General features: G+C 55.4%; 1 annotated feature.

Moving 5' to 3' along the window:
- Positions 12272-12773: an enhancer, noted in NCBI's record as "H3K4me1 hESC enhancer chr1:2766741-2767242 (GRCh37/hg19 assembly coordinates)". NCBI's record gives its function as "activates a minimal SCP1, AML or CMV promoter by ChIP-STARR-seq in naive H9 embryonic stem cells {active_cell/tissue: H9 hESC(naive)}" and the evidence as "EXISTENCE:reporter gene assay evidence [ECO:0000049][PMID:30033119]".

Raw genomic sequence — 18718 nt, 5'->3', positions numbered from 1 at the left:
AGCCAGCATCTCGGACTCCCCTTAAATCTCTCGGTGTCTGGGGGTGGGTGAGTGGTCACTGGGGGTCCCTGGAAGAGGTTGGCTGAGTGTTTCCAGCTGCCAGGGGTCAGCTTGCTGTTCCCCCAGGGAAGTGCTGAGGGCTTTACCTCCAGAGACTTCTGGGACCCAGCGGCCCCTTTATTGGTGACCCCCTCTTGTGACCCAAAAAGGTTCAGTGGACCCGAGTCTGACATAAAACCACCCCCAAGAGCCTTGGTCTCCCCATCTGCTGGGAAGTACCTTGTGGGGCCGTGGATGGAGGCCGATCCCTATCACCCTATCCAGGAAGCGCGGCAGGTGTGAGGAGGCGGGGGCGCCGTCCGGCAACAGCTCCCACCACGGGCAATTAGTTAACGTCAGCGCCCTCGGAGCTGTCCAGCCAGATGGGGAATCAAGTATTTATGGCGGCTATCGCTAACAAATTGATCACGACCTGAGTGCCCTTCTGCAAGTTTGCAGCTCAGAGCCTGACGGTTCGTTCAGCCCCCAGTGAGCAGAATCTCTGAAACCCTGATCAGCCTCCCTTGGATGCTCACACTAAATTTAACAGATGACACAGGCTTCCGGTCCAGCTCACTCAGATGCAGTGCTGTGACCCTCCCATGTGCCAGTGCTCACCGGGCTCTGGGACCCGAGGAGTCACTCAGACGCCTCCAGGTGTGTGAATCCAGAGGGGGACTCTCGCTTCCACCTCATAAAGAAATCAGCGCCACCGCCCTTCAGAGACTGGGCTGCGTTCAGTCGAGTCACTGCCAGCCTCAGAGGGCAAACGGAGTCCATATGCACTGGCGACCGTAGCCCGGGAGCAGGTCTGTCTGCAGGCTGGGTTATCCCACCCTCCGGCCCAGTGCCCAGATGCCAGAGGCATCCTGGCTCCACGCTCCAGGTCCGGGCACCTCCTGAGCAAGGAGCTCCTCCTGGGGGCCGCAGGCGGGAGGCTCAGTTCCCCTTCCTGGATCTGAGGTTTTAATTGGAAAAAAACTGTCCTCCAAGGAGCAAGGAAGGGTCTGGTTTGGCACGGGTGGGTTTTCATTGGGGCCACCCTCTCTGCCACCCTCCCCAGCTCCAACAGGCTTTTCGCAGGGAGAGTGGTACGTGGCAGGTCTGAGGACAGGGCCCGCCTGCAGGGCAGAGATGCTGGTCTCTGGTTGACCAGGTGAGCTGCTCCCTTGCAGAGGCTGTGCCAAGGGCTCTGGAATGGCCCAGGGCCAGGTGAACAGGCTCTCCATGACCCCACCAAAGCAGGAGGCTTCTCTGACCCCAGAGGCTCCCTTCTGCCAGCTCCCTTGAGGGACGGGGCAGTTCCTAACTTGGCCCGGCTCTGGCGGTGCTGACTTTAGGAAAAAGCCAGATGTGTTTGGCCCAAGGAGGGCCCCCCAGAGACAGAACCCACAGCAAGTGACCGTTTCTGCCCTGAGAAGGAGCCTGCTGGGGCCTGGGCGCGGCTCCCAGAAGAGTGGGGCGTTCTCAATGCCCAAGGCATGTCTGTGAGTGCAAGGCTGGGACCACACAGGCCGGTCTTTCAGGAAACCCCTCCAAAGAGACTGTGCCTGGGACTGAAGGGCTTCCCTGGTGAGTGCTCCCCGCCCCCCACGCCCTGTGTCCCTCCTGGTTTGCTCTCCTCAGAGAGTCCTGCCCCAGGTGTGGGTTCTCATTGCAGCTCCTGGGCCTCCCACCAGCCCCCCACGCCCCGCTGACCACTCCTCAATGCAACCACAGAGTCGGCCCCACCAAGGCAGGGAGGAGGCTTCTCTGACCCCAGAGACTCCCTTCTGCCAGCTGCCTGGGGAGACGGGGCCCTGGCTCAGCCTCTGAATCCACCTGTTCCCAAGTGTCCTGGAGGGGAGGGAAACAGCCCGGGCGACAAGCATGGCGGCCCCCAGGTCTTCAGGCCAGAGGGAAGCAGCACAGAGGCAAAGGGAAGCCAGGTTTGCTGACGGCCCAGGGATGGGGCAAGACCTTGGCTGTCGGCGGTGTCCCCAGCACGGGGAAAGCCCCGGTGACGTGTTGCTGCGTTTGGTTTTGCTTAATTTTTAGAAGATCAGTGAGGAAGAAGCAAAACCCTCAGGATACACTCTTTGGCCACCGACAATGGGAGGGTGGTGGCCTCTCCCGGGATGTCACCGGGAGGAGGCTCGCCCACCACGGATGATCGCACTCCGGGGTGTCCACATGGATGCTGAGCCAGGCGCCCGGCCTTGGTGGGGCTCACCAGGAACAAATGGTTGCCGATGGCAAGAGCCCTTCAGCCACCTCCTCCCGACTGTCCCGGCCTGACCGCCAGGAAGAGGAATTCCGGGAGAGCGCCAACCAGGCGGTTTTAGCAGAGGGTATCCTGCCAGCCCTGCGGGGTCCCCTGAAGCTTGCAGACCTCTCTGTGTGTGGCATGGTCTCCCCTTTGGCCCCCGGCTAGGGCTGGGGCAGAGACCGGGGAGCAGTCAGGTGCCTTTTTGGAGGTCCAAAGACCCCCATCTCTAGTATGTGGGTGAGGGTCAAAGAGGCGTGGACACCACTTCTTAGGGGCCTTCCTGGGCCAGATGGTGTGGACGGCAGAAATCAGCCTTGTGGAGGCCCCAGTAGCAGAGGTGGCAAAAGCCTTCACTCCATTCACACTGAGCTGGTTATCGTGATGCGGAGCATGAGAAAGTTTTGTCACCCTTCCTCAGGGCCCTGATACACGGGACCCAGTGCTCTGCCAACGCCTGACCCCTGAGCCCTGGCAACCCCGTAGTGTCTCGGGGCAAGTGCAGCTGTCATTCCACCTTATGGATGAAGAGACAGAGGCTGAGACCTCCAGCGGCTGTCCAACGTCACCCAGGAGCAGGGGCTGAGCCAGGACCCTGCATGGGGCCCCCGACTCTGGCCCATCCTGTTTGCCGAGTCTAGGCCATTCCTGACTCCAGGGGGCACCAACCATGACTCTAGAGGTGGCTGGAGTCCACAGGCAGCTGCCCCACCACAGAGAACTTCCAGGTCACAGGTCTTTACAGTCAAGGTTTAAATGGGAAAAAAACTGTCCTCCAAGCCTTGAGGCCAGAGCCCAGGGGTCAGAAATGGCTTCAATGACCCCAGGCAGGCAGCCTGTCTCAGGACTCCCTGAGCTGTCCCGTCTGTGACGTGGGTGGGAACAGCACCCACCTGAGGATGCAGCCACAGTGAGTGGGCCTGGCTAAGGTGGAGTCGGCCAGGGGTCACCCCTGGAGTGACTGGGGGCGGTGGTGGGGGCTAAGGTGCACTTCCACGGGGGAGTACCTGCACCTGTGGGTTCAACAAGAAACATCTGTGCCTTCTTCCTCCTACCCCTCCTTCCTTCTTTCCTACCTCTGTCCTCCCTCCCTCCTTCCTTCCTCTTCCTCCCTCCTTCCTCCCTCCTTCCTTCCTCTTCCTCCCTCCTTCCTCCCTCCTTCCTTCCTCTTCCTCCCTCTTTCCTCCCTCCTTCCTCCCTCTTGTCTTCCTCCTTCCCCCTCCTTCTTTCTCCTTCCTTCTTTTTTCCTCCTTTTTTCCTTCCTTCCTCCTCCCTTTCTCCTTCCTTCCTCCTTCCTTCCTTTCCTCCCTTTCTTTCCTCTTTTCTTCCTTCCTCTTTCCTTCTTCCTTTCTTCCTTCCTTCCTCCTTCCTCCTTCCTTCCTCCCTGCTTCCTTCCTTCTTGCCTCCCTTCCTTTCTTCCTCTCCTTCCTTCCTTCCTTCCTCCTTTCCTCCCTCCTTCCCCTCCCTCCCTTCCTTCCTCCATTTACTTTATGGCGCATGAACAGGTGGGTATTTTTTCATCCCTGGAGCTATAACCCAATGCTGCGCCTTTTTGTGGATCACCTTCTTCCAGCTGTGGCCATCAGGAGCTCCTCCAGGTCAGCTCCTGCATTCCTTGGCCATCTATGCCCCATCGCTTTGTTTCTCAAACTCTTCCTCATTTCCTGGCACCACAAGGTGCCACAGGCTCATCTTGAATTTTCCCTGTCCTGTCCTAGAACCCATCCCTTCTCTGCAGATCTCCGGCCCCTTCACTGGGGACGGTGTTAGAAATGGGATCTGGGTGCAGGGCGTGTGCATGGCCACTGGGGCGTCCCCGCTGGGCCTCTCAGCAGATACAGCGACGTAAAACATGGGTGCATATCAACCGGGGTGTGCATACGTATGTACACTACCCTGTGTACTGACAGGTCAGCATGCGTGTGTATACAAATATACCAATATCTGTATGCGTGGGCTGGTATAACATATATGTGTGCACAGGTTACATGTGTGTACGTGTCTGTGCATACCTGTGCACATGTGTGTAGGTACATGTACCTGCGCACACAGCCATGTGTATACCAACCCTTGCAGGCACACATATCCATAGTTGGCAGGGTGATTTTTAACAGGGGTATGGGAGAGACTTGTTCATGCCCTGAGAGAGTTGGGGACAAAAGCACAGATTTGGGTGCTAAGGGGGGCGAGACTCTTGGGGTCAGGGAGCCAGTGGGGACGCTGCAGGTGGGGGTTTAAACTGAACCCTCAGGGATGGATTGGGTGAGAGAGGCCAGTGTGATGGGAGATTCTGCGGGGCAGGCCAGCCAGGACTGGGAGCAAACCCCTGTTGTGGAACTAGAGGGGTGGGGGTCCGGGTGGTGGGGAGCCACACCAGGCACAGGCACAGCCTGTGTCCTCCTAGGCACTTCCTGATGGTTGATGTGGAAACTGGTGAATTCCAGAGAGCGCCCGGAGCAGAGGGTGTGCAGTGTGCCCTGGCGGCATCTCCACCCGTGGGCACAGGGTGTGAGCAAAGGGAGCCTGGATGGGGGCAGGAGGACTGTCTTCGGGAGGAGGCCAGGGTCCTGGAGAAGCCACCAGCCTGGGTTTGTCGGATGTGTTTCTCGTGTCTAGCCTGGGGTTGTGGGGTTTTGGAAAAAATCCTAAAAAAGGGGCTGTGGGGACTCTCTATACTAGCCCTTTATTGCTTCTCTGTTCATCCAAAATTCTTCCAAAATAAACATTTATGTTAAAAATCACTTTAATGCAGTCAGCGCTCAAAATCTAGATACTCACTGGGGTCCCACCGGCTCCCGAGGCACTCGCTTGCATCTCAGAGCACCCACGGTGTGCAGGGCACTGGGTGCTCTCGGGAACCACGGCCCAGACATGCATGAGGTCGGGACCTCAGGGACTGAGGCAGCCCCCGGTTCACAGAGGACACCAGGCTCCCGGCTACTTGCCCAGCGAGCAGCCCCAGTGGACACCGGGACAGTGAGGGCCTCCCGTCCTTACCACAACCAAGCCAGCCCCACGATGTCACCAAGACGGCATCCCCTGCCCCTGATACAAAGGGGCCCTTGGCTGTGGGTGGGTCCCTGAAAAGCAGAGGCTCCACCTGAGCACAGGGTGAGGGTTGCAGTGACCACCAGGGGCCCAGCACTGAGCTCAGCCCTGGACCCCAGGCAAGGAGGTGTCCCTTGGTAGGAAGCACGGCGTGAAGAGAAATGATCGGCCCCATTTCCAGTGAACCCCACTAACGACTGTTCAGCACGTCCGTGACTTTACCAACAAAACTCGGCCTATGAATCCCCAATGAGCCTGGATCCTTGATTAATGCTAATGGTTTTTCTCACCAGCTGTGAAAATGCATTTTCCATAATTTAGCTGTCATTACAATGGGAAGGATTGATAAAACACACACACACACAACCTCGTGCTTGGAGGGCCTGGAGGGAAGCAGCGGAGGAGGCCGGGAGGCAGCTGGTTCTGCCTGTGAGACGCAGGCACAGGTGCTCAGCCACACCCGGGCACTGGCCTCTGGCTCCCAGATCAGGACACAGTGCTGCCCCCCGACCTCATGCATGGAGTCCACTGCAGCACACAGACCTCCCCGGGGCTCTGAGCTTGGGCCTGGGTGCAGGACAAGACAGTGGCCCATGAGCGGGGACCAGCCCTCCCGCCTGTCTCAGGTACAGGAGCAACAGCATCCACTGGGCAGCTCCAGGCTCCACCTCCACGTCACAGATGAGGAATTCGAGGCCCAAGGATCCGGCAGCTCCTGCAGCATCGGCCGCAGCTGGGGAGCTAAGCAGGAGGTCAGGCTGGCGTGTCAGGCTCCACGCACCTCTCTGTGCCCCTGCCTCCCCTGGAGTGGGCTAGGGATCTCACTCCCTGACCTCCCACGGAAATGGAAAGAGAAGAAGGGAGGTTCTGAGACGGAGGGGCCCCCGACCCCTAGCCCGGTCTCGGTCGAAGGAAGAAAAGAAGGAGAGAAGGGGAGGCGGAGGGAGGGAGGGACTGGCCTCTGCGTGAGGCCTCTGACTGAGGACTGTGGCCCAGCCAGTCCCCATCCCCAGCCCTTAGCCCTGGTGTTTAAGCTACTTCTGACCTCCAAGGGGTGCCAGCCACCGGCCCGACCCAGAAATTCAGAAGCGACTGCCCGCTCATGGAAACATCCAACTTGCAGGCATTTGTCTTCACAGTTTTTGCTTAAGAAAACTATTCTCAAAGTTACAGAGGCCAGAGTCCAGGAAGGAAGGAAGGAGGGAGGAAAGACATAGGCTTGGCCCCAGGAGGGAGTGGGGGCACACCCAGACCTGCAATTTGAAAGCCCCTTTGAAGATCCCAGCAAAGCCTCCCGAGGTCACGGCTGCGCACGACCGGCCAAGGCTGCAGAAATCTCAGCACTGCAGTCGGTCCCACCATGGCCTGTGGCCAAGAATGGGAACCCAAGTGGCCGGGCCAGTGTCTGGCGGGGCTGCCCCCACCCTGCCCAGCTCTCCCCTGACCTGCAGGCACAGCCGGGGCAGGGCCCCCCTCCAAAGTGGTTTCAAGCACAAATGAGTATCTGAAAAGTGCACGGGGCGCGGGTGAGCAGGGGAAGACGAAGCAAAGCCAGCGTCGAATCAATTAGCCGAGTCTTGCGAACGCGGGCACGCTCTGCCTTCCATTAGTGGGTCCTGCCGGCCCCTGCTGCAGGCCCGGAGCCTGCGCCGCGGAAACGTTCTCCTTCTTGTTTTAATCTTTCGCCGAGCCGGCCTTTCGCCTCCAGCCCGTCTAATTGAAACTAATCTTCGCGGGCAAGGCCTGTCTCTCCTCCTAATCCTCCTCCGAGGAAGTTCACATGGTCCCAATTACAGCCACACCGGCCCTTTCATTCCCGCCCTCGCCTCCCTCTGCCAGCCTCGGTTTTTGAAAGTCTGCATTATTAACTCCATGCTTGCGAGTTCCTGCCTGTCACGGGGCCGCGAGATGCTATCGCGGGCTGCCCAGGGATAAGGTTACCACGAAGGCATTTTGTGGATTACATTTCGCACAAGGCGACAGAGGGCAAGATAGCGCAGAACCCGTGCGCTCCCTGAGTGGAGGGGGAGGCGGAGGAGGGCTGGCCCGGGGCCGGGCTCCCCTGCTTGCAACCTGCAGGGCAGAGAGTTGAGGAGGATTCTGGAAGCTTCCTGGAGGGGCAGAGAAGAACAGTTGGGGAGCGGGGCAGCCCCACAGAGCGCAGCACCCGCTGCCGAGCCCGCCTGGCTCCCCCAGCCCCCCATGGGAGCCTGCGAAGAGGGAGACAGGGTCCCTGGAGCTGGGCTCAGTGTTACAACAAGCCGAACGGAAATCCTACATTTCCAGGCTGTCGAGAACGTCAAGTTTCCGTGCTCCGGGCTGGAATCCCGCTGCCGCCAATGTGGGCACGCTGGTGACCGAGGTTGATCAGACCTCAGATGGCATCCGGGGATGTCTCTGATTAAACTTTTTAAAAAGAGAAACTGCGATAATTATCACTGAATGAAAGCAGTTGCTTAAAGACAATTCCCCACCTCTGGGGTGACAGAAGAGAAACAACGCGGTGGGCCTCTGACAGGGCCCTCCGGGAGGGGGAGCCAGGGCACGCAGAGACAAGCCCCCCAGTCCCCCCGCACTGACCAGCTCCCCACCCCAGATGCCAGACTCCGAGCAATTTCAAAGGTGGTGAAACTTGGCCACAGTAAGGACAGGAGGCCCTCACTGTCCCCGTGTCCACCGGGGCTGCTCACTAGGCATGTGGCTGGAAGCCTGGTGTCCTCTGTGAACCGGGAGCTGCCTCAGTCCCTGGGGTCCCGACCTCATGCATACCTGGGCCTTGGTTCCCGAGAGCACCCAGTGCCCTGCACACCGTGGGTGCTCCCAGAGGCAAGGGAGTGCCTGGGGAGCCGTCGGGAGCCCCTGAGTGTTTAGACTGGTGTCTGCCGTCTGCCCATCACCTTGCAGGGCCTGGAGCAAGGCTCCGCCATTTCTTGACCCTGACCTGTGGCTTGCAGACTGAGTTGGAGACTTAGAGCTAGAGGTGCATAAATCCCCATCCACCTCCATCCTACCTGTGCACGCTGGCCGGCACCCCCGCTTTTTTCAGAAGAGCCCACAGAGCAGAAAGAACTACTCACAAGAAACTCCACCCAACCGAGACTGCGTGGAGTGGGACGCCCCCATGCTCCCCTAGATGCCCCTCACACCTCCGTCCACCAGAGCAGGGCACAGAGCTCTGGCTTCCAGGCCAAGCTGTGAAACCGTGGGCAGGGCTGCCCCTGTGACTAGGAGGACACCCAGGCTGAGGTGACGGCGCATTAGGACGCTGCCCCTCCTCCTCACTCCGCGTCCCCTGGCACCCGCTGGGCTGCCCAGCTGGGCCCTGGACCCTTAAGCTGGCTTCACCGTTCTTTCCCCTCCTATAGCATCTCCTTCATGGAGGCCCATGGGGCTTACATCAACACAGCTCCAAGCCTGGCTTTATCTTCTGTATCACGGAGCTGTAACTCCCACCTGGGCCAGGTGAGGACGAGATAAGGGAACATCCCGTGGCCCTGGCCAGCCTGGGCCTGGGGCAGGACGTGCACCTTGCACCCCTCTGAAGGCTCTCCCCTCCCCGTCACCTGCCAGACCATCTACCATCTTCCAGCTTTCTAGTCTCTGCTGCATGCCTGCCTCCCCTAGGCAGTGTCTGGGGGCCCCTGGCAGGAGGCGGTGCTGGTCTCAGGTCCCAGGAGTCAGCCTCATGCATGTGAGTCTCAGCTCCGGACGGGAGTGAGCCTCTGACACAGGACCAGATGCCCTACACAGGCTATGTCTGCAGCACCCAGGCTCATGGCACGGAGCTGGACACAGCAAACACCAGCCACCGCCTCAACTCAGACTCCTTCCTGGCTGGGCGGGGCAGGCAGGGGAGGCCAAGTGAAGATGAGCAGGAGGCCACAGAGATCGTGGTCAAAGGCAGAAAAGAAAAGAAAATCACAGCTGCTCTACAGTGTATACGTGTTGCACACAATAATGATACATGATTTTTATTTGCCAGCTGAGAAGTTTAAAAAATTTTTTTTTACTTGCTCTGTCACCCAGTCTGGAGTGCGGTGGTTTGATTTTGGCTCACTGCAGCCTTGAACTCCCAGGCTCAAGCAATCCTCCCACCACAGCTACCTGAGTAGCTGAGACAAGTGTGCACCACCACACTCAGCTAATTTTTGTAGAGATGGGGTCTCATTGCATTGCCAGGCTGGTCTCAAACTCCTGGGCTCAAGCAATCCTTCCACCTCAGCCTCCCAAAGTGCTGGGATTACAGGCGTGAGCCATCATGCCTGAACCTAAACAAAATTTTAAAGCAGAAGAAAAGGAACATGAACGTGAAACCTTCAGGATGGCTAAAATGAAAACAATTGACAATGCCAAGTGCTGCAAGGTTGTGGAACAACTGGAACTCAGTGTCCCACGGCACAGCCATTTCAGAAAATCATTTCGCAGTTCCCTTGAGGTTAAACCTACACTTATACCATAGGACCCAACCATTCCACTCCTGGGTATTTACCCAAGAAATGAAAGCATGTGTCCACCCAACAACCTGTAGGTGAATGTTCAAAGCGATGGTATTCATTGTAGCCCCACACTGGAAATCACGCAAAACTACACCAAAAGGCTAATAAATAAATGGCCTGTGGTTCACCATACAATAGATACACGCAACGGACACAATGTGGAGGTGTCTACAGTGGATAAGATGTGTGGGTGTCCGCCACGGACACGATGTGGAGGTGTATCCAGTGGATAAGATGTGTGGGTGTCCGCCATGGACACGATGTGGAGGTGTATCCAGTGGATAAGATGTGTGGGTGTCCGCCATGGACACGATGTGGAGGTGTATCCAGTGGATAAGATGTGTGGGTGTCCGCCATGGATACGATGTGGAGGTGTATCCAGTGGATAAGATGTGTGGGTGTCCGCCATGGACACAATGTGGAGGTGTATCCAGTGGATAAGATGTGTGGGTGTCCGCCATGGACACGATGTGGAGGTGTATACAGTGGATAAGATGTGTGGGTGTCCGCCATGGACACGATGTGGAGGTGTATACAGTGGATAAGATGTGTGGGTGTCCGCCATGGATACGATGTGGAGGTGTATACAGTGGATAAGATGTGTGGGTGTCCACCATGGATACGATGTGGAGGTGTATCCAGTGGATAAGATGTGTGGGTGTCCGCCATGGACACGATGTGGAGATGTATACAGTGGATAAGATGTGTGGGTGTCAGCCATGGACATGATGTGGAGGTGTATACAGTGGATAAGATGTGTGGGTGTCCACCATGGACACGATGTGGAGGTGTATACAGTGGATAAGATGTGTGGGTGTCCACCATGGATACGATGTGGAGGTGTATCCAGTGGATAAGATGTGTGGGTGTCCGCCTTGGACACGATGTGGAGGTGTATACAGTGGATAAGATGTGTGGGTGTCCGCCATGGATACGATGTGGAGGTGTATACAGTGGATAAGGTGTGTGGGTGTCCGCCATGGACACGATGTGGAGGTGTATACAGTGGATAAGATGTGTGGGTGTCCACCATGGATACAATGTGGAGGTGTATACAGTGGATGAGATGTGTGGGTGTCCGCCATGGACACGATGTGGAGGTGTATACAGTGGATGAGATGTGTGGGTGTCCGCCATGGACACGATGTGGAGGTGTATACAGTGGAGAAAACGTATGGGTACCTGCAATGGACACCATGTGTAGCTCCCCATAGAGTGCATGGGACTTGTGGGTGCCTGCAATGGAAACAACCTGTGGATACATGTCATGGATAGCCTGTCTGGGTCCTTGCAGTGGATGGATACATACAAAGACCATTTCCCCAGCAGTAAAAAAGCAGAACTATTGATCCATGCAGCAGGATGATTACATCACAAAATAATTATGCTGAGAGAAAGAAGCCAGACCAAAAAGCGGGCATGCTTGTACTCCACTTTGGTAAAACTCTAGAAGAATCTAAACTAATCCACAGTGACCGGAATCCGATCTTGGGTTGCCTGGGGTGGAGGGTAAGGGGGATTGTGTGGCAAGTGTGGGAGAAAACTTTCTGGGGACATGGCAATGCGCTCTAACTTGATGGAGTGGCAGTTACATGGATGTACACATTTGTCAACATTTATCCAACTTTACCTGGGTGCCTTTTCTAATTGTGGTGAAATATACACATAGCGTAAAACTTAACCATCTTCATGATTTTTCAGTTAGACGTCCGCAGCACTGGGCGCATTCAGCTTGGTGTGCAGCCGTCACCACCATCTACCCCAGAACGCTTCTTCTTCCCAACCTGAACCTCTGCACCCATTAAACACTCACTCCCTGCTCCCCCTCCCCCAGCCCCAGGCACCCACCCTTCCCTTCCCATCTCTTTGGATTTGACAGCTCTAGGGACCTCCTGTAAGTGGAATTCCACGGAATTTGTCCTTTCGTGACCGGCTGACTTCACTGAGCAGAATGTCCTCGAGGTGCATCCATGTCATAGCCTGTGTCAGCATTTTATTCCCTTTTACACTGAATAACATTCCCGTGTTTGGATACACAGCAGCCCCCAATCCTGGAGGATAGGTGCCAAGACCCCCAGTGGGTGCTCGACACCATAGGCAGTACCACATCGTCTCTATACTGTTTTTTCTCATACACACCGATGATTAAGTTTAATTCACAGGTCAGGCACAGGAAGAGGTTAACACTAACTAACAATAAAGACAACTATAACCATTTACTGTAATAGAAAGTTACGTGATTGTGGTCTCTCCTCCCTCCCCTGCCTCTCTCTTTCTCTCTCCTGAATATCCTGCCGCTCTGCGAGGTGCTCCCCCTCCTGCTTCCCGCGCTGATGTGCTGAGTTGCAGTGAGGCGCAGGACGCAGGCACTGGGACGCAGCTAGGCCACCATGGAGCTTATGCAGCCTGGAATCTGCATAACTGTCCTCAACTGGGAGTCAACGGCTGGGCGTCACTCTCTCAGGGGTGCCTTGCTGAGGCCTCTCTACAGGCTCCGTGCTTTCCAGGGCCACATGATGCCATCCCAGAACACGCTTCCGCTCCTGTCCTCCACGCACACATGGAACGCTTTTCCGTCTTCTCTAAGCACTTGCCATGCTCTGCGGCCACAACTGCTGCTGTTTGAGATGCAACAACAAAACTAGCAGAAATTTCTGTCTCCTTCTTGAGAGTTTGAGAAAAGACTTGTTCTTACTGCAGATCTCAGCAAGCTCGGCGTACAGTTTCTGTTCTATCCTTATTAAATCGAGAACGTTCACCTTTGCACTTCAAGGAAGCACTTCACGGCCTCTCTTTCGCATAACTGAGTTGTCGGCATCGAGACTTGTGCTTTGGGGCCATTTAAGTCAAATAAGGGTGATTTGAAAGCAAGCACTGTGATACCATGGCCGTCGATCGGATCACCAAGGTGGCTACTAAGTGGCTCACGGGCAGCAGTGTAGACAGCACAGATTCACCTGCAGGGCGGGACAGAGGGATGGCGGGAGATTTCATCACACTGCACAGAATGGTGCATAATTTAAAGCTCGTGAGTTGTTTATTTCTGAAAGTTTCCATTTGATATTTTTGGGCCTCAATTGAGCGGGCGTGACTGAAACTGTGGCGCGAAGCCACAGATAAGGGGGTGACTGCACCAGGCGCTATCGATCCATTTGTCTGCTGACGGACATTCGGTTTGCCCTCACCTTTTGACGGACATTTGGTTTGCTCTCACCTTTCGGCTACTGGGGATTATGCTGCTATGTGTGCACTGGGGTGTGGGTCTGTGAAGTCTCTGCTTCAGTTCTTTGGGGATGTTCCTGGGAGTGGAATGGCTGGGTCATGTGGAGATTCTGTTTAATTCTCTGGGAAATGCCACGTTGTTTCCCCAGCAGCCGCTCAATTCCACACTTCCACCCAGGGCACAGGGTTCCATTCCACACTCCCACCCAGGGCACAGGGCTCAATTCCACACTCCCGCCCAGGGCACAGGGTTCCATTCCACACTCCCACCCGGGGCACAGGGCTCAATTCCACACTCGCACCCAGGGCATAGGGCTCAATTCCACACTCCCGCCCAGGGCACAGGGTTCCATTCCACACTCCCACCCAGGCACAGGGTTCAATTCCACACTCGCACCCGGGGCACAGGGCTCAATTCCACACTCCCGCCCAGGACACAGGGTTCCATTCCACACTCCCGCCCAGGCACAGGGTTCAATTCCACACTCCCACCCAGGACACAGGGCTCCATTCCACACTCCCACCCAGGCACAGGGTTCCATTCCACACTCCCACCCAGGACACAGGGCTCCATTCCACACTCCCACCCAGGGCACAGGGTTCCATTCCACACTCCCACCCAGGGCACAGGGTTCCATTCCACACTCCCGCCCAGGCACAGGGTTCCATTCCACACTCCCGCCCAGGGCACGGGGCTCAATTCCACACTCCCGCCCAGGGCACAGGGTTCCATTCCACACTCCCGCCCAGGGCACAGGGTTCCATTCCACACTCCCACCCAGGGCACAGGGTTCAATTCCACACTCCCACCCAGGACACAGGGCTCAATTCCACACTCCCGCCCAGGACACGGCTCAATTCCACACTCCCGCCCAGGACACAGGGTTCCATTCCACACTCCCACCCAGGACACAGGGCTCAATTCCACACTCCCGCCCAGGACACAGGGTTCCATTTCACACTCCCACCCAGGGCACAGGGCTCAGTTCCACACTCCCACCCAGGGCACAGAGCTCAATTCCACACTCCCGCCCAGGCACAGGGTTCAATTCCACACTCCCACCCAAGGCACGGGGCTCAACTCCTCACTCCCACCCAGGGCACAGGGCTCCAGTTTCTCCACATCCTCATCCACACTCATGTTTTCCTGGTTTGCTTTTTTTAAATAACAGCCATTCTACTAAAATGCATCCCGATGGGTGCATTTGATGATATGTAAAGCATGCCTCAAGAAAGTTATCTAAAATTTTTAATTAAACAACGTGAAACCCTTGGCTTCTGTCCCTACCCAAAGTGAGGGGACCTAACCCTCTGGGTGCTGGCCTCCACACTGGCAGCTCACATAATCAGCTCTCAGCAGCCTATGCCTGTGACGGGGACCTTGTCCTCAGAGAAGCCAAGAACCCAGAGCTGCCCCTCCCAGGTCCTCTCCCCATCCCTGGTCACTGGCCCCAGGGAGACCCCCTCTCTGGGTACCTCCTGGGCAGTGTTCAAGCAAAGCCTCTGAATGGGCCTTTCTCAGGTGACTGCACAGGGTGAGGACAGCAAGTCACCCATCCCTACCTGGGTCCTCATCCCTGCTGGAGCAGCTCAGCTCTGCAGAGAGGGGAGGGCTGGCTGTGTGGGTGGAGGCAGCTGCGTGGGTGATGGTTGTGTGGGTAGAGATGGTTGTGTGAGTGGAGGCGGCTGCGCGGATGAAGGCGGCTGCGTGGGTGGAGATTGTTGCGTGGGTGGAGGCGGCTGCGTGGGTGGAGATGGCTGCGTGGGTGGAGATCCCCCTGCAGCCTGAGGCTCGAGGCAGAGGTGGCAGCAGGATGGCATCCTGGCCCCGTGGCAGCACCTGGCAGACCTCGGCCTCATCCCCGTGTGGCAGACAAGGACTCACTGCTCCTGTCTCCTGATGAGAATGCCAAGCCTCACCCTGGGCTGCCCCAGGCAGAGGGGTTCGTTTCCCCACCCCTGGGACATTGCCTGGCCGCCTCAGAGGCTGCCCCAAGCCCTTTACTGGCTATAGGGGTGAAGAAAGAGACCATGGAGCCCGCAGCCACAGAAGAAGACGGGAGATAAGGAAGTGAACAGGCAAAGCCGTGCCCTTGCACTTGTCTAGAAGGAAATGGGCCGAATGTGGCAGGAGAATCACTGGGAAGAGCTTCCTCAAAGGCGTGGGGGGACGAAAAGCAGCTCCGCGGTGGCAGCATGAGGCCAACGCCCGAAGGACAGGAAGGCACTGGCCAGGCACAGGCCCTCCTTCCCTCTGCAGTGCCGGGGACAGGAGCGGACCCGTGCGGAACATGCCCAGAGACAAGCAGACAAGCAGACAATGTGGCCCTCCAGCCACACCCCGTGTGCTGAGCTTAAAGAGAACAGCACGGGGTGACCAGCTGACACACTCTACCCAGCACCAAGGGAGTTTCCAGGATCCAGGACCTTCCGTTGTAAAACCAGGACAGTCCTGAGCAGACTGGGATGAGTTGGTCACACTAGGGTTTCTCCAGTTTGAAAAGGGCCACTGGGTGCACAGAAAGAAAAGTGAATTCTGCCAAGATGGCTCAAGCCCCCACCAGTCCCCCTGGGAGGGGGAGGCCAAGCAGGGCTGCTGGCCTTGGGGGAGGCGGGAGCAGGGCACACATTACTGGTTTGTGTCCAAGACTGGTGCACCTGGCTGGGGGGATGAGCCGGGCCCCCACGTGGTCTCTGTCTTGTCACTTTATTGCCATTAAATTGCACATTCCCTTTCATGCCATAGTCCTCAGAGACGGTGGGTGCATCTGGTGTCCTGCATGGTAGCTTTGGGTATTCAGACACAAAAAGGACCTAGAATTATGGAGAAACCACTCACGGACATTCACTGAGGCTCACCATGGGTTGAGATCCTGCACTGCAAAGCGCCTTGTAGAGATTTCTTTCCCACAACAGCCCAAAGGTGGGGATTATCGCCTTTCCCATTGCAGAGTTGAGAAAACTGAGATGGAAGTCAGCTAAGCCATCCGGTTAGTCCGAGGTGGAGCCGCGATTTGAACTGAGGCCCCCAGGACCCCGTGTCATTCCCACAGTGTGAGCCATCGGGCTCGGGAGATAGGGGCCAAAGAACTCCTAAGCCCCTCTTTGGTTTTAGGAGGTTCTCAAGGGGTTTCTCCATGCTCTGTTGCAGAATCGACATGAACTTTTAAAATATGGCCTTGATTTGTTAACTTATTTATTCTTCTTCTTCTTTTTTTTTTTCTGAGACAGAGTCTTGCTCTTTTGCCCAGGCTGGAGTGCAGTGGTGTGATCTCGGCTCACTGCAACCTCCGCCTTCCAGATTCAAGCAATTGTCCTGCCTCAGACTCCTGAGTAGCTGGGATTCCAGGCAGGCACCACCATGCCCGGCTAATTTTTGAATTTTTAGTAGAGACAGGGTTTCACCATGTTGGCCAGGCTGGTCTCGAACTCCTGACTTCAAGTGATCCACCCACTTGGGCCTCCCAAAGTGCTGAGATTACAGGCGTGAGCCACCGCGCCCGACCTAACTTATTTCTTAAACAGTTAAATCAGTTGCACAGGGAAAAGATCAACTCTCAGTGGTTGGTCCATTTGCACCACAGTTCAATTTTGTAAAGAAATAAGCGTGTTTCAATTCAGTATTTAAAAAATTTTAATTGTATTATACATGATGATGCCCTTTACCTTCCACTATATTAGAGTAGATTATATACGACCAATCCTCCTGCAAACACAACTGAAAACTCTAGGATGGACACACAAAACCACAGCAGCAGCAAAGCAGCCGGGACACGAGACCAGCCGACATCCTGGAGAAAAGGGAAGTGCAGGGAAGAAAGTCTGAGAACGGATTCCGTGGTTGGCGTGACAAGGGCCTGTGGGCTGACAATCCAAGCCAACAGCAGCAGAGAGCATCCTGGTAGCATCACCCCCAAGCTCACGGCACTGTGTTCAGAGCCTGCCAAGCAAGCAGTGCCCTGCTAAACACCACAGGCTTTCTGCCCCGATGACTCCAACTCCACCCAGGAGCAAGAGCAGCCTGTAGAGAGGCCAGGCCTCAGAGGAGCCAAACCCAGTGGAATCAGCTCAGTTCTTAGTTGGACAATGGAGATCCGGCCCCGTTGCAGCCACCTGCTGGGAACCAAAGAAAGTCTCCTCTGGGGAGATAAACAACCCAGAGCGCTACAGTGTTTTCTGAACAATGTGGAGAATTTTCTTTTTACATTATAGGTACAGTGAGCTGAGTGCTGGCCCCAAAAAAGATACATCCACATCATAACCCCTAGAACCTGTGAATGTGACCTTATTTGGAAAAAAGGGTCTTTGCAGGTGTGATCAAGTCAAGGATCTTGGGAGAAGGAGCTTATCCTGGGTTCTCTAAAGGCAGTCCCATGTACGCTCTGTAAGAAACAAAGAGACTGGGCTGAGAAGCACAGAGGGAGACAGGCACACAGAGAAGAGGGGAAGGAAATGTGGCACAGAAGCAGGGACGGAAGGGATGCAGTCACTTCATCCACGAAGGAATTCCTGAAGCCACAGCAGCTGGAAGATGCAAGGGAGGGTTCCCCCAGAGGCACTGGAGGGAGTGCAGCCCTGCCCATACCTTGACTGGGGGCTTCTGGTCTCCACAACTGAGACATTAAGATCCTGTGTTTTGTTTTGTTTTGTTTTGTTTTGTTTTGTTTTTTTGAGATGGAGTCTCTCTCTGTCACCCAGGCTGGAGTGCAGTAATGCAATCTCAGCTCACTGCAAGCTCTACCTCCCAGGTTCACGCCATTGTCCTGCCTCAGCCTCTCTGAGTAGCTGAGACTACAGGCACCCGCCACCATGCCTGGCTAATTTTTTCTAGTTTTAGTAGAGACGGGGTTTCACCGTGGTCTCGATCTCCTGACCTCATGATCTGCCCGCCTCGGCCTCCCAAAGTGCTGGGATTACAAGCATGAGCCACCACACCCGGCCAAGATCCTGGTGTTTCAAACCACTCTGTGGTCATTTGTTATGGCAGCCATGGGAAACTAATACACCAGGTAAGCCAAGAGAGGAACAGCAAAGCAGACGATAGAAGCAGACCCACAGGTGATCCCGCTATTGGAGTTACAGAGACAGGCTTAACAAAAGTGCACTTAAGAAAGTAGAGAATTTCACCAGACAATTGAAATCTGTGAAAAAATAATACATAGAAATTCTAGGACTGAAAAATCCCTCCAAAGGAACAATAATATGACAAGGGACTTCACAACAGAAATGACAGAAGCCAGAAGGTAATGGTATGTCATAAAGTGCTGGGGAAAAATATGCTAAAAACAACAACTGCCAACTTAGAATTCTAATGCAAGGGAGAATAACTTCAAAAATAAAGGCCAACAGTTCCTTTAAAGGTTAAATATAGCCCAACATATGACCCAGCCATTCCTCTCTTAGTTATGTACCCAAGAGAAAGAAAAACACATATCTACACCAAACTTTGTATTAAAAATGTTCATAGCAGCATCATACACAAAAGCCAAAAAGAGGATACAATTCAAGGGACCACCAACTGTTGAGTGATAAAGTCAGGTCTACCCATACAGTGGAATATTATTAAGCCATTAAAAAGCACAGATTCATGCTAGCACATGGATGACCCTCAACAGCATTATCCCCAGCGATAGAAGCCAGACACAAAAGAACACATATGACAGGATTC

Source organism: Homo sapiens, chromosome 1 (assembly GCF_000001405.40).
Source record: "Homo sapiens chromosome 1, GRCh38.p14 Primary Assembly".
In the NCBI taxonomy this organism is placed as follows: Eukaryota; Metazoa; Chordata; class Mammalia; order Primates; family Hominidae; genus Homo; species Homo sapiens.
The sequence above is the reverse complement of the archived record's forward strand: the minus strand, read 5'-3'. Positions and strand labels throughout refer to the sequence as shown.